The sequence below is a fragment of the Homo sapiens genome, chromosome 6 (genome assembly GCF_000001405.40).
Source record: "Homo sapiens chromosome 6, GRCh38.p14 Primary Assembly".
In the NCBI taxonomy this organism is placed as follows: domain Eukaryota; kingdom Metazoa; phylum Chordata; class Mammalia; order Primates; family Hominidae; genus Homo; species Homo sapiens.
In genome coordinates this window covers 161,503,669-161,519,248 of record NC_000006.12, presented here as the reverse complement: position 1 = coordinate 161,519,248, position 15,580 = coordinate 161,503,669, and the positions used below count along the sequence as shown (strand labels likewise).

The 15,580-nt window shown below is 43.3% G+C and overlaps 1 protein-coding gene across 6 annotated transcripts in view, besides 1 other annotated feature; it reads left to right on the top strand.

Moving 5' to 3' along the window:
• Window positions 1-15,580, top strand: part of PRKN (parkin RBR E3 ubiquitin protein ligase) — a 1,380,350-nt gene that overhangs the window by 1,208,518 nt on the left and 156,252 nt on the right. The gene's annotated exons all lie outside the window — the stretch shown is intronic.
• Window positions 230-730: an enhancer, noted in NCBI's record as "H3K4me1 hESC enhancer chr6:161939551-161940051 (GRCh37/hg19 assembly coordinates)". NCBI's record gives its function as "activates a minimal SCP1, AML or CMV promoter by ChIP-STARR-seq in primed H9 embryonic stem cells {active_cell/tissue: H9 hESC(primed)}" and the evidence as "EXISTENCE:reporter gene assay evidence [ECO:0000049][PMID:30033119]".

Here is a 15,580-nt window from a genome sequence, read left to right as displayed (position 1 = left end):
AGGATTCAGAGGGGAACCTTGAACAGCACCATCCACACAAACCTCCTCTCTCCTCCCTACTTCCCCAGCTTGGAAAGGCAGACCCCCTCCCTACTTGGTATTAAACATTCCACTTTTTTCACTAACAGTGCAATCTCCCTCAATTAGCCTATACTCCCAAAGCAAAGACTTGGCAAGAGGGCTTATTGTCTCTGGGTGTTACAAGTACATTGCGCTATAAATGTCTATGCTCTCTGTCTGAAGTCTCGAGGAGTTTATCATTTACTTGCATCTGGACACGAGTGCAGTTTTCCCAGAGTTCCATGCTCAGGCATTTCTGTGGACAGAGGGAGATTCTCTTGTGCTCAGCCTTCCTCTCCCTGACATTGGTGTGGAGGGCTGCTCTCTGAGTGAGAGCTGCTTTCTATTTGACTCAATTCAGTCAGTGTTCACCAGGTGACTCTTCTGTGCAAGGCAGCTGCCAGGGGCTGCTAGAGGTGGATGGGATGCATAGCCAAGTATCAAGGCACACCGCCGGCCCTCTGCAGCAGGCAGGAGGATGTGTGGAAACTTGCAATGGGCCCCTGGACAGGAGCCGTGGTTCACCTCACTAGGGGGCTGGGTGAGCGGAGGCTGGGCTTGTGCTGCTAGGGGGAGGCCGTGGCATTAACATTGAACCAATAATGCTCTTTGCCAGAAGGTGGTGGAACCCAGCAAGGGCAGATGTGAGCCTCGGTTCAGCTCTCACCCAGAGCCCTGGGATTGCACAGCCAGGGGCAGCGCCCAGTGCCACAGCAGCCTGCACTTGACCTTGCTGCCCAGGCTGCTGCCCAGCCTCCCAAGTAGCTGGGACTACAGGCGCCCACCACCACGCCTGGCTACTGGCTGTTTCTGGGCCCTTCTGCTGCTTTCCCTGCACAGGACATTCTGTTTGCTCAGTGGCAGTGGGCAGCTTTGTGAAGTCCTCTCATCTTCTGGAAAGCAGGGCTGAGCTGTCCTGAGAGAATTTCAGCGCCAGCAGATATGCAGGGTGGGGGCAGTCCCCCTCTCATGCACCTATGTTGCCACCTCCCCGGCCCCATGGTGTGGAGTCACTGTCCAGCTGCCAGTGAGGGAGGCAGTGAGTGCCCCCGGCCCCATCCCCAGGCCAGTGGCCTTCATCTAAGGTATCTGGAGAGCTAGACTCGCACATGCCCTCATAGAAGCCAAATCTCCCTCCAGCTTGAAGCCACTGTGCAGCCAACTTCTGCCAGTCTCCCCGAGGAAATAATAGTCCTCTTGATTTCATGTGTGCTTTACTTTTTATTTTGAAATAGTTATGGATACACAGGAAGTTGTAAACATAGCACAGAAAGGTCCCAGGTACCCTTCACCAGCTTTTTCCAAATGGCTACCTCTTGCATAGCTAGAGTACAGTACCAAAACCAGGAAATTGACTTTGCTACAGTGTATGCGTATAGCTCTACTTATCACAGGTAGGTTTGTGCAACTACCACCTCAACTCTTTTTTTTTTTTTTTTTTTTTTTTTTGAGATAGAGTCTCACTCTGTCACCCAGGCTGGAGTGCAGTGACGCGATCTCGGCTCACTGCAAGCTCCGCCTTCCAGGTTCACACCATTCTCCTGCCTCAGCCTCCTGAGTAGCTGGGACTACAGGCGACCGCCACCATGCCCGGCTAATTTTTTGTATTTTTAGTAGAGACAGGGTTTCACCGTGTTAGCCAGGATGGTCTTGATCTCCTGACCTTGTGATCTGCCTGCTTTGGCCTCCCAAAGTGCTGGGATTACAGGTGTGAGCCACCACGCCCGGCCTAGCACCTCAACTCTTGATTTCATCTTATAACTGTGTGGCTGGGTCCTTACCCAAGCAGAACCCCATGAAACCAACAGATTCAGTGGTTTTGATGTACGTTTTGGTGCGCTGTGATGTCACCATATAAGTAGCCAAATTTGGTGATTCTAGGTTGACTTACTGCTCCCAGATCCATAAAGATTGGTCAACACGAATGAACCTAAAAAGATAGGTCAGTCACACGGAACCCTGCCCCAGCCAAACAAACTCACACTTGTCAATCATGAACTCGTGATTGAAAATGTGCTTCCCAGATAAAAGAAGTCATCTACTCATTTTGCTTCCATGTTGCTGATAGAATTACTTTTTCTGTTCTGGCTTTCCCAAGGCAATTACAAAACCTGTTTACTCCATCGTAAGTTGAAATCAACACTATTACTATAAACTCTATAATACTATATTTTTACCCTAACTGGAAGAAATTAATCATTAAACCTGTGGATTAAATACAACTTTTAACATGATGCATACAATGAGAAACAACTTACTGAAAGCATCAATTCAATAAATGCATCCACTGAAATGGTGGCTTATTTAAGAGTCATGTTCCTGTACTTTTCTTTTTTCTTTCTTTTTTTTTTTTTTTTTTTTTGAGATTGAGTCTTGCTCTGTCACCCAGGCTGGAGTGCAGTGGTGCGATCTTGGCTCACTGCAACCCGCACTGCCCAGGTTTCAGCAATTCTCCTGCCTCAGCCTCCTGAATAGCTAGGATTATAAGCATGCGACACCATGCCTGGCTAGTTTTTGTTTTTTAGTGGAGATGGAGTTTTACCACGTTGGCCAGGCTGGTCTCGAACTCCTAATCTCAGGTGATCCACCAGTCTCGGCCTCCCAAAGTGTTGAGATTGCAGGCGTGAGCCACCATACCTAGCCCACTTTTCTTCTTTTTCTTCTTCTTCTTCTTCTTTCTTCTTTCTTCTTCTTCTTTTTTTTTTTTTTTTTTTTTTTTTTAGAAGGAGCCTCACTCTGCCACCCAGGCTGGAGTGCACAGTGGTGCAATCTTGGCTCACTGCAACCTCTGTCTCCTGGGTTCAATCAATTCTCCTACCTTAGCCTCCCGAGTAGCTGGAATTACAGGCACCCGCCATCACACCCAGCTAATTTTTGCGGATTGTTTTTGTTTTTGTTTTTTAAGTAGAGATGGGGTTTCACCATGTCGGACAGGCTGGTCTCAAACTCCTGGCCTCAGGTGACCCACCCACCTCAGCCTCCCAAAGTGCTGGGATTACAGGCGTGAGCCACTGCGCCTGGCCCACTTTTCTTCTTAAAGTAACACTTTGGAAACACTAGGAATGAACTGGCTCTGTTTTAAGGTTATATAGAAAAAAGTAATGGAGTTGGGCATTGTATTAGCAGTACCATAATGAAGCTTCTTAAAAGCCAGCTTGATGGTTATTTTTAATAATTATAGGCACTACTTACAGGTCACTGAGATAAATCACATAATGTTGAACTTTGCAGTCTTATAAGGAAAAAAAATTTTCTCCTTTGCCAGAAATTATCAGGTTATTAATTTTTTTCAGTGCATGTGTGAAAAGCCATTAGCTTCTCTTTTTTTTCTTTTCTTTAAATATCCAGCTATACTAGGTGACTGTGCTCAAATGGTGGTGATTGCCATGGACTAAAATCCCATAAGAAGAACCTTGAGACCTGTCGAGGTGAAAGCTAACCCACTGGAAAGTGGATGCCATCAGATTTGTAGTAGTTGATAAGTGTGTAGAAGTCAAGAAGCACTGAAAATGGCAGTGTACTCAATTTTAACTTTATTTATTCAATGCTTAAATCAGTCCTAAGGAGGATTTGCTGTAGTTATCATAGTAGCATAACGATATACTGTTTCAAATGAAACACATGTGAAGTAACACAATTGACTCCTCATTTTAAATGATCCTGCTTTAAATGTTGAGATCCAGCTTCTCATAGCCTAAGCATCCCACAACCAAATGCCTGAAAATTAAGATTCATCTCTAAAGGCAGTGTAGTCATATAAGAATAAGCTCCACAAAATTACATTTACTATGAGTACAATATTACAAAAATATATGTACATGGATAAAAACTCACAAGAAATCCAGAATCCAGAAAACTTAACCAGGTTAATACGGTGTTATTATTGGTCACTTTTGCTGTTTTCATTTTAAATTATCTAACGCTGTTCTGTGTTTTCAGATAACAGGAAGGGGGAAAACAGTTGGATGCTGATTTCTCGTTGGTACTATGCATATAATAGATGTTCAGTAGATGCAGTTGGAGGAAGGTGTAACAATAAAAGCAGGACATGTCAGTAGTGTGAATGTGCCCTTTCATGGCACAATTTAGAAAACAGCCTGGAAGACACTGCACGTTGGCCTCATGCTTTTTAAAGGAAATAAGACATGTATAGAGTCGCTTTTATGCATCTTGTGATGAAGATATTCCCCCTGGCCCATCTTTAACTAACAATTGGGCCTCTCAACTGCCACCTCAAAGTTCAGTGCTGCTTGAGACCAGGGGACACCCTTGGCTTCAGGGGAGAGGAACCCAGAGGACTCCGTAGTAGGCACCATGACGGCAGCACTAAGGAGCTTGCCGCTCTGGACTTCCTAGTGCAGTTTTCAAGGGGTGGGTTCCTGGCCTCCCCGCAGTCCTCCTGGAACCAGAGCCCTTCTGGTCTCCTGGTTCCCACAGCAACAAAGTTTTCTTTCAGCCCCTAGTCACTGGGTCCCCTTTCCCTGGACCTAGTCTCTTTACAATGAGGTCCCAGATACCAGCCTCTAATCATCAGGACAAACGGCTATCCCCCAACTCCAGTTTCCTCCCCACCCATCACCTCCCTCCTAAGCCAGCGTGAGTCACAGACGCAGATCCTTAACCCTCTCTTGCTTTTTGTCACCTTGTCCCTCGCGTTCAGATCTGTTCAAGCTCATCCTCAAAATAGCTGGCCTTGGTTTTATTCTGTTTTAAAACCTTGCCTTCTTCACCCTTTTTCCCCATAACCCCTATCACTCCTCAAAATAAAACTTTACCCCCAAAAAACTGTTCAGAGTCCCAGTCCCAGCCTTATATGGTCTGACCCTGTCCTGCAGCTCAGACCCGGTTTGTTTCTCAAGATCATGACCACATTCACCATCCAACTCCTGTCTGTGCAACCTGCCTAAAGAGTCCTTGCCCAGTTGGATAAATAAATATCTTTCATTTGCAGAAATCTTGAGAAAGCAAGGACTCTGGGGTTTTGTTTTGTTTTTTTCCACTCTCTCTACTCCTTTTTCTTTGGTTCTCTCATTCATTCAGTCATTTGTTCTTTAAATCTATTGTTTATTTACAGTTCCTGAGATCCTAGTTGCACCAGGAAATATACTAGATAATAAGGTTACAAAGAAATACATTTCTGCTTTGAGAAGATCGTAATTCCTGGGGTCCTAAAATACAGCTGTTACAGTTACACAACCACCAACTTTTCATAGACCTTAATGATTCCCAAAATGCTGGCACGTTGGTTGTCTCAATTAGTCCTCTCTACAACCCTGTCAGGAAGGTATTCTATTTGTCACCATTTTATAGAGGAGGGAACAAAAGGTCAGGAAAGTTAAATAATTTCCCCAAGATAGCCCAGCTTTCAGTGATGGATCTGGGAGATAAGCCCACCTCCCATGCTCGTTGTAAAGTAGTGCTTTCCCCGCCTTCTCATGAGATGTCTTACAGGGGAAAGTCATTCTTAAGTTAAAAACAACAGCAGCAGCAAGGCCCGTACAGCATGCTCAGGTAGAAAATCACCTCCTAGAAGGAGTCCAACTTCGGGTTCCTTCATGTAGTGGCTCAGTTTGTTTACCTCCTTGCCCACATTTACCTTCAAAAATTTATCTTGTAAACAAATGAAAAAAAGCAGAAAGGGCTCTTTCAAAAAAAAAAAAAAATGTGCTGTAATCCCAGCACTCTGGGAGACTGAGGCGGGCAGATCACGAACGAGGTCAGGAGATCGAGACCATCCTGGCTAACATGGTGAAATCCCGTCTCTACTAAAAATAAAAAAAATTAGCCAAGCGTGGTGGCATGCACCTGTAGTCCCAGCTACCCGGGAGGCTGAGGCAGGAGAATCACTTGAACCCGGGGGGCGGAGGTTGCAGTGTGCTGAGATCGCACCACTGCACTCCAGCCTGGGTGACAGAGCGAGACCCCATCTCAAAAAACAAAGCAAGCAAACAAACAAAACATGTATCTTTAAGCTCAAATGGGAATATCCCGTCACAGTTTGAGAATGTAATAGCTTAAGAGGCAGCCAAATTTTTATTTCTAGAAACCAGTCTATCATTTTCATGAGTCGCCAAATAGGAAACTCCTAAACATCTGCTTTCCTAAGTGAGTGGAACTTGTCCTGGTCCTGACCTGAGAAATCGAAACCGTGGCAAGAGTGGTTCTGTGGAGGCCAGATGGGCATTTCTCTGAGAGGCAAGAGGAAGGCAGGTTAATGTATGACTCCCAAAGTTCTTACACCTAGCAGTATTGATGAAACCATATTGTTATGGAATATCATCAGCACGGATATTGTTTCTTAAGCCTACAGCTATTCAAAGAGAAAGGGGAAAAAGCTGTGCCACCTTAATTTAATTGGAAGTAATTATGCTAACTTCCAGCCCCCATAGCTGTGTGCACCAGGGAGGCCAGGAGGACGGCAAGTAAGAGTCAGGGGCACTTGCCTCTCCGCGTTTGCTCTACATAGTCACACGTGATTGTTTTCTCCTCGTGTAGAACAATCATCTCACAACATTAAAAGGTAGAAAGAGCTTCCTCTTGGTTGTGTGGTTATTTTGGGTGCAGAGTTAATGACAAACCTTGTATACCAATTCACCAGGAATTTCAGTCCAAGCCAGGTGTGTTCAATATGGTGACCTGAAAGGAAGCCCGCTCTGTTGACCGTGAGAAATGAGCAGTTGTTAGCACGTCAAAGGTGTCATCCCTACCAACGAGGTGTCCCTTCTTGTGGTTTGTTCAATACTTCTCCGCATGAATTTACTTACAATAGCAATACACTTCATCAGATTCATTTCTATCATATTGTTTCCCTATAATTTTATTATATTGTCTTATGCACCAGAGCCTCCCTTTTTGGCCAAGTGTGTTTCCACTTCCATTTGATTTTCAGGGGGGGGTCATTTCCTTAGAGTTGTTTTAAACCATTTTTCTGAGCTTGGGATGTGCTGTTTTATCATATTTGCAGCAGTCAGAGGCTTTAGAGCATTTTTTACTAATAAAAATGAAACCACCTCTGTTACTGTTTTAGTAATACTGTTCTTTGTAGACCTCTTTCCATTTTCAGACTTACATTGAATAGATTAGGTACACTTGTGTTCTTATTCCCATCAAGCTACTGTATAATTTTTGTCACTTTGGCTCTTGGCAGGAGATTCTGCATACAGTGACAACAATGTAGGTGTGTGTGCACATGTGTGTCTGTGTTAGGGGGAAACGTGGGCCTGAGCCTTGGCTGAACCCTCACAGCAAGTCTAGCCTTCCCGCGGATCGTAATGAATGGAACTGCGGGAGCTGTCTCCGCTAAAGTGAGATATTCTTCTCCCAGACTAATGTTTTCTGCACCAGTTAGCAGATTTTTTTTTTTTTCCTAAGATCAACCCATCTGCCACTTTCATTCTGCAGTAACCTGGCAACTTGCAGTCTGGATCGTTCTTTTTCATCTTGACCCCTGGCCTTGGAATGCTGCAATTTAGTGATACTCCTTTAAAGGATTGTCTGGTCACTTAGGCAGGTCAGTGCTGTTATTTGCTCATGTCATGAGGGCTGGGTGTTCTTGAATAGATGGTGACAGTATGACCATAATTCCTAACGTGTCCAGTCAATTGTCATGGGCTAAAACCTTTCACAGAAATAACGGTGTCAGATATGGCTGTGGAGTCCATGAAAGATGCATTATTATTTTGCTCATCCTTCATAATACTTATTTTCTTTATCCTTATTGCCAATTCCCCAGGAGTCTAGAAATGAAGGGATTTGTTTCCAGTTGACATCACAGTCTTAGGCCTCGTGCGGTTTATATTCTATTGGAAGGGAAAACTGATAAATACCAAGCATCATTTTGTTGCAAAAGTTTAAATCATCTGAACTATATATGTAGCAGCAATCTAGATTGTGTTTATTTTCCTCTATTTTTTAAACTTACATCATATTTCCAATCTGACAAATTGAACTGCTCCTGCAGTGCCGTGATTTAAGCCTCATAGGCCAATCTCTTCAGGTGATTGTTTTGTCTATTTTTAAAAATCTCCACAAAGAACATTTATTTTTCTTCCTAGTAAACGATGTCATTGTTTACCTGTTAGAAATGTCTTATCAAATTTTAAGATAACCTGTCCTTTGTTATAGTTTGAGTCCATTACCCTAAGAGATTACTTCATTTTCTATAGCAAACAAAAGATCAGTGGCCTCTTTAAAAATAGCATCTTCCATATTGGAAGAAGAAAATCATGTCTGGACTGGCTTCTTTTGATATAACAAAAACTATTTCCCTTATCCACGCTCAATACGGTCAACACCCTCTCCTGCAAAAATGGCCACAGGGGAAAGGAGGGCCATTTTCAGCCCACTTCCAATGGAGACCAATCTCTTTCCAACATATTTCATTCAAATGATAAAGGATTATATCCTCTATCATTTGCTTTTACAAATAGAACATTGGAAGTCTTGACTTGCTATTATTTTCTTGAAGGTTAGCAAAAACATAACTTCTGCTGGAGTAACATTGACTCTCTTGGGTCTCTTAATACCCAGACTGGTTACTTATGCAAATAGCTTTGCTGTGTAATTAGGGTAAAGCATTTTGGTTAAATTGCCTTTCTATACCCAGAACTCTATCCTAGACCAACCTTTGTAAGGGAATTGAACCTGCTGGGTTTGAAAATTAGAATACTAAGCACAAGTGGGTGCATTTCTTCAATGGGCTTCGCGTTGGTCTCAGATTAACTGGAAACAACAACTTGATGTGGGGATCTCAGGGACAGTCACACTTCACGATGCCTCACTGGCGACCTCAGGGACAGTCACACTTCACGATGCCTCACTGGCGACCTCAGGGACAGTCACACTTCACGATGCCTCACTGGCGATCTCAGGGACAATCACGCTTCATGATACCGCACATCCTGTGATGGTTGAGTTATTACAAAGCATCAAGAAGGTTCATCTCCACAAATTTGTGTCATTTTTAGTAGCCACTGCATCTGGAATTTCATCATTAGAGAGTAAAGAGCCTAGGTTCCTGCCCTTTAAAATCTCCTCTTAAAACACAATTTTATAAAAGTGTTCATGTGTAAAGAACATGCCTCTCAACGATGCATATGTCTTCAGAAATTTCTTATAGAAATCATAAGGACGGTAGAGGATTAGCCTCCTGGCAAGGGCATGAATGCAGGAGCCCATGGGCAAAACCTTGCTTGCACCTTTTTGAGCCCACACAGGGTTGAGCTGCACAATGGATTAATTAAGCCATTTTATATTTAAATTTAAAATATCGATTTGTGGCTTAACTTTTTTTTTTTTTTTTTTTTTTTTGAGATGGAGTCTCACTCTGTCACCCAGGCTGGAGTACAGTGGCACAATCTCGGCTCACTGCAACCTCTGCCTCCTGGGTTCAAGCAATTCTCCTGCTTCAGCCTCCTGAGTAGCTGGGATTACAGGCGCGCACCACCACACACAGCTAATTTTTGTATTTTTAGTAAAGACGGGGTTTCACCATGTTGGTCAGGCTGGTCTCGAACTCCTAAACTTGTGATCCACCCTCCTCGGCCTCTCACCAAGTGTTGAGATTACAGGTGTAAGCCACCGTGCCCAGCCTTTTTTTCTTTTTTTCCCCCCAAAGGAAGCTCCTGGTGCACTAGATGGGCATTCTCATGTGAAGAAAAAAATCAGCTTAACATGAAAGGCCATCCCCTCCTTTAAACAGCACAGGTGCTTCCAATCTGCCACCATGCCCACCTGGCTGCCCCCTATTCTCCAGGCTCCTCCCTGGCTCTAAAAGCCTTGAGTTTCTTACCTCTCTTTTTCGAGGCTTTGCCATTCTTTTTGATCTCAGAATGGATCATTTTCTCTCTGCGAGGATGAATAAACAGCTAACACTAGGACTAAGTGCTTTTTCTCAAGCACTGCTGAGAAAGATCTGGAAGGTAGTGTTGCCCAAGAACAGGAGGTGAAAAAGTTTTCTGGTGCTCTTCTAATTTAAAAAAAAAAAAAAGAAAAGTCTTTAGATACCAAAATGTTTCTGTGATGTTGTCATAGAATCATAACACCCGGCCAGACATGGTGGCTCACGCCTGTAATCCCAGCACTTTGGGAGGCCAAGACTGGCGGATCACCTGAGGTCAGGAGTTCGAGACTAGCCTGACCAACATGGAGAAACCCTGTCTCTACTAAAAATACAAAATTAGCTGGGCATGGTGGCGCATGCCTGTAATCCCAGCTACTTGGGAGGCTGAGGCGGGAGAATCACTTGAACCTGGGAGGCAGAGGTTGTGGTGAGCCAAGAGCGCACCATTGCACTCCAGTCTCGGCAACAAGAGTGAAACTCCATCTCCAAAAAAAAAAAAAGGAATTATAACACTCAAGAACTGTGAAACTTTCCTATTCTTAGCTCTGGTCCGTTTTGCATTACCATGGTGTTTAATTGAGGGGGAAAAAAAGTAGGCTACAGATAAATTGGAAATGATTCAACTGAGAGTGACAAAAATTATTAAAATGATTAAAGGGTTGCAAAACTGATCTGTGAGGATCGGCTTGAGGAATTGGATTTATGAAGTCTGAGGAAAAGGGAGCTCAGGGCGGATTTATTAAGTGTATTAAGGGACATGATACGGAGGAAGCTGACCAATGTTTTCCTGCTCTGCTGAGGACAGAGCAAATGGAAATGATCTTACAATATGGCAGGGGAGAATTTTTCATCATGTGTAATGGAGCCATAAGGACTGACCCTCAGGAAAAGCGTTTCCGAGGTTAAAGAAAAAGAAAATACTTAAAAATATTCTCCTTGAGACAGGTTTTTAAAGGATAGACAGTCGACAAGGAGTTTTATATCTTGTTCTGCCTAAAGGCAGGGTTTGTGCCAGGTGACCTTTGGGGGCATTTTCCATTCCTTTGAGTCTACAGATTTATAGAAGGTCTTGAATCTGATTTTAGTGAATTCAAAAGCAAGTACACATCAGCTCCTAACCATCAGAAACTAAAGTACAAGGACACACACATTTTTTTGCTATTGAATTAACACCTGGAATCTCAGCTATTCATGCAATCATTTCTTTTGTAGTCTGTGATTGCAAACTAACAGTTATTAGTCCTCTGTGGCACTTAAAAAAGGGTACAGCTTTTATGCCTAACGTGTGCGATACTTCTATTAGCAACGTGTTTCCCTGGATACGTTTTATCAGAAACTTCACTACCAAAAATAAGAATATAGAAAGGCATTCCCATGTGTCAGAAAAGGTAGGTCATTTATTTCATCTACTATTATGTATTGAGCACCTATTATAAACCTGGACCTATGTTTTGCACTGAGCATACAAAGATGGAAAAGTAAGTCAACGAGCTTACTTGGGTGGTCAGGGAGTGATTCAGGCTGGACGTGAAAACCCGTTATGAAAATATAGTTTACTGAATGTTTAAGGAGGTTTTAGTGAGGGTAGGAAAATATGAAATACCACCTAAAATGGGATTAAATTGACAGAAAATATCAACTGTGCATGGTACCATCAGGAGCAGAGAGAAGAGTCAAGATATAGAGGAGGCAGAGAATGGAGGGTAGGGGGAAGGGCTCAAAGGAAGAGAGCATCCCTTCCTGAACAGCTGCGTGCTGGGCCGAGAGGAAAGCTTGGCTGTCCCCAGCAGCTGTCTGGAACTTCCCTGACCAGTGGAATGCTAGTTAGCAAAAGAGATTGTAGATTATAATTGGCGGTTCCCCACCCCATAGCCACCTTCGAGGGTTAAATTGGGCCATGTACAGGCAGACCAGTACATAATGTGATTTAATAATCTGCCCAAGTCATTGTGTCAAAACTGAGAACTGATGCCCCAAATTCACTTGATAGGAAATGGATCATTCCATTTCATAGAGATGAGCAATGTTACAAATGCCACACTGAAAAGATACTTAGACAAAAAGTCACTCGTCTTCTTAGCCCCACAGAATCTTAGGCTGAAAAGGAACTTAAAGCCTAGTCACCAAACCTCTTTCCCACTACTGGAATGGGTTCCGCACACCTTCCTTCCTTGGCAGGTGTCCAACTTAAGTGGCAAAAAGTTCAGATCTTTCAGGAAGGTTGTTTAGGAAGAGAGGAATTTTTAAAAAGTTCTTCCTTACGTGAGGCTTAAAACTGCCTCCCTGAAACATGCACTCATGGCTTGAGACCCACTCCTGGGAGCTGCTTAGTGTAGCTGAACAGGCGGCCTGTGACATCCTCTTGTGGGTCTCTTCTCTGGAGGCTTAATGCCCCTCCTCAGCCTCCTGTGAGGCTGCTCCTGGCTCCGTGGCAGCCTTGCCCAAATGGGTTACAGTTTGTTAATGTCTCACAGAAGGTGGTTCCCCAAATTGACTTTTTGGTACTGCAGACCAATGGCCTAGTTTACAACTGAGCAAGCTTTTTGGGACAGCCATATCACACTTATCTGTAAAGAATTAAATGTATAATAAATCAATATTACTCTTTTACCGTTAGCATTATTGAGCACTGGCTGTGTGCCTCTCAATAAGCCCAGTTAGGTCCCCACAGCCACCTGCCACTCCTGGGCCCCACCCACCTGCATCATCCTCCTTTCTGCACTTGTCTCACTCGCCTGTGACCCTTTTTGACCAGCCCAGAGCAGTCATTCAATCAGCATTTGTTGATGAATTCATTAAATAGGCAACAAATTTTTCAGCCTCTATTGAGTTTGCAGGTAACGTAAATGAAAGTTGGGAAGTCAAATTGTCACTGTTTGCAGATGACATGATTGTATATCTAGAAAACCCCATTGTCTCAGCCCAAAATCTCCTTAAGCTGATAAGCAACTTCAGCAAAGTCTCAGGATACAAAATCAATGTACAAAAATCACAAGCATTCTTATACACCAATAGCAGACAAACAGAGAGCCAAATCATGAGTGAACTCCCATTCACAATTGCTTCAAAGAGAATAAAATACCTAGGAATCCACCTTACAAGGGATGTGAAGGACCTCTTCAAGGAGAACTACAAACCACTGCTCAATGAAATTAAAGAGGATACAAACAAATGGAAGAACATTCCATGCTCGTGGGTAGGAAGAATCAATATCGTGAAAATGGCCATACTGCCCAAGGTAATTTATAGATTCAATGCCATCCCCATCAAGCTACCAATGACTTTCTTCACAGAATTGGAAAAAACTACTTTAAAGTTCATATGGAACCAAAAAAGAACCCGCATCGCCAAGTCAATCCTAAGCCAAAAGAACAAAGCTGGAGGCATCACGCTGCCTGACTTCAAACTATACTACAAGGCTACAGTAACCAAAACAGCATGGTACTGGTACCAAAACAGAGATATAGATCAATGGAACAGAACAGAGCCCTCAGAAATAATGCCACATATCTACAACTATCTGATCTTTGACAAACCTGAGAAAAACAAGCAATGGGGAAAGGATTCCCTATTTAATAAATGGTGCTGGGAAAACAGTCTAGCCATATGTAGAAAGCTGAAACTGGATCCCTTCCTTACACCTTATACAAAAATCAATTCAAGATGGATTAAAGACTTAAACGTTAGACCTAAAACCATAAAAACCCTAGAAGAAAACCTAAGCATTACCATTCAGGACATAGGCACGGGCAAGGACTTCATGTCTAAAACACCAATAGCAATGGCAACAAAAGCCAAAATTGACAAATGGGATCTCATTAAACTAAACAGCTTCTGCACAGCAAAAGAAACTACCATCAGAGTGAACAGGCAGCCCACAAAATGGGAGAATATTTTTGCAACCTACTCATCTGACAAAGGGCTAATATCCAGAATCTACAATGAACTCAAACAAATTTACAAGAAAAAAACAAACAACCCCATCAAAGAGTGGGCAAAGGACATGAACAGACACTTCTCAAAAGAAGACATTTATGCAGCCAAAAAACACATGAAAAAATGCTCACCATCACTGGCCATCAGAGAAATGCAAATCAAAACCACAATGAGATATCATCTCACACCAGTTAGAATGGCGATCATTAAAAAGTCAGGAAACAACAGATGCTTGAGAGGATGTGGAGAAATAGGAACACTTTTACACTGTTGGTGGGACTGTAAACTAGTTCGACCATTGTGGAAGTCAGTGTGGCGATTCCTCAGGGATCTAGAACTAGAAATACCATTTGACCCAGCCATCCCATTACTGGATATACACCCAAAGGACTATAAATCATGCTGCTATAAAGACACATGCACACGTATGTTTATTGCAGCACTATTCACAATAGCAAAGACTTGGAACCAACCCAAATGTCCAACAATGATAGACTGGATTAAGAAAATGTGGCACATATACACCATGGAATACTATGCAGCCATAAAAAATGATGAGTTCATTTCCTTTGTAGGGACATGGATGAAATTGGAAATCATCATTCTCAGTAAACTATCGCAAGAACAAAAAACCAAACACCGCATATTCTCACTCATAGGTGGGAATTGAACAATGGGAACACATGGACACAGGAGGGGGAACATCACACTCTGGGGACTGTTGTGGGGTGGGGGGAGGGGGGAGGGATAGCATTGGGAGATATACCTAATGCTAGATGACAAGTTGGTGGGTGCAGCGCACCAGCATGTCACATGTATACATATGTAACTAACCTGCACATTGTGCACATGTACCCTAAAACTTAAAGTATAATAATAAAAAAGAAAGTTTCACAGTGTTTGGTCTGTTCCCATTTATCCCTGCAACAACTCCTGACTTGTAACATGACTCAGTCAGTACAGGTCTGGGGAACACAGGGTTCACCCCCTTTTCCCATCCCCGCACACCTGAGGTTTCCGACCCGCCCTGCCTGAAACCCTGCTCGGACGCTCAGGGTTGGGAAAAGGCTATGCCTGGCAGGGAGTGGTCCCCATGGCAATCCCTGCCGGCTCTTCCTCAGGGAGTCAGACCTTGCCCAGCTCTGAGGTGCAGATAACGCTGTGTTCATGCCTTTAAGTCACCCTCATTAGATTTCTTGTGGTTCGGTTCAGCCCATCCTTCCAGCCTTGGAGACCCTTTGGGATCTTTCTTCAAGCCTCTAAGTTATTGAATATCTTATGGCTTTTTGACCTCTAACTATAAGAAGTCACATCTTCTGTCTCTATACCCATGTCATCGGTATAGCTTTTTAAATATATTAATACCTTTCCTCATGTAACAAGGACAGACCTAACACTATCATAATAAACTAGAAGTCAAGGCTGAAAATCCAGATCATGGATATAGCAAAGAATTAGGTTGACCACAGAGGTTCTTCAATGCTTTCCCCCTGTCTAGGGTGTCTCAATGATCAAGGCTGAAGGGGACTCTGGTGGTGATATAATCATCATTATCAGAATAGAAGCCTGTGGATTCCTGGGGGAAGCAGGCTTTTCCTCACAGTGGATTCTAAAAGAATGCTCACATCTGACTTTGTGTCACGGCCACCCTGTGGTGCAGTGAGTGATGTTTACAACCTCTTTTTTAAAACAGCAACTGCAGGCCGGACTGCTTCTGGTTGTGACCTTCATAGAAGCATAGAG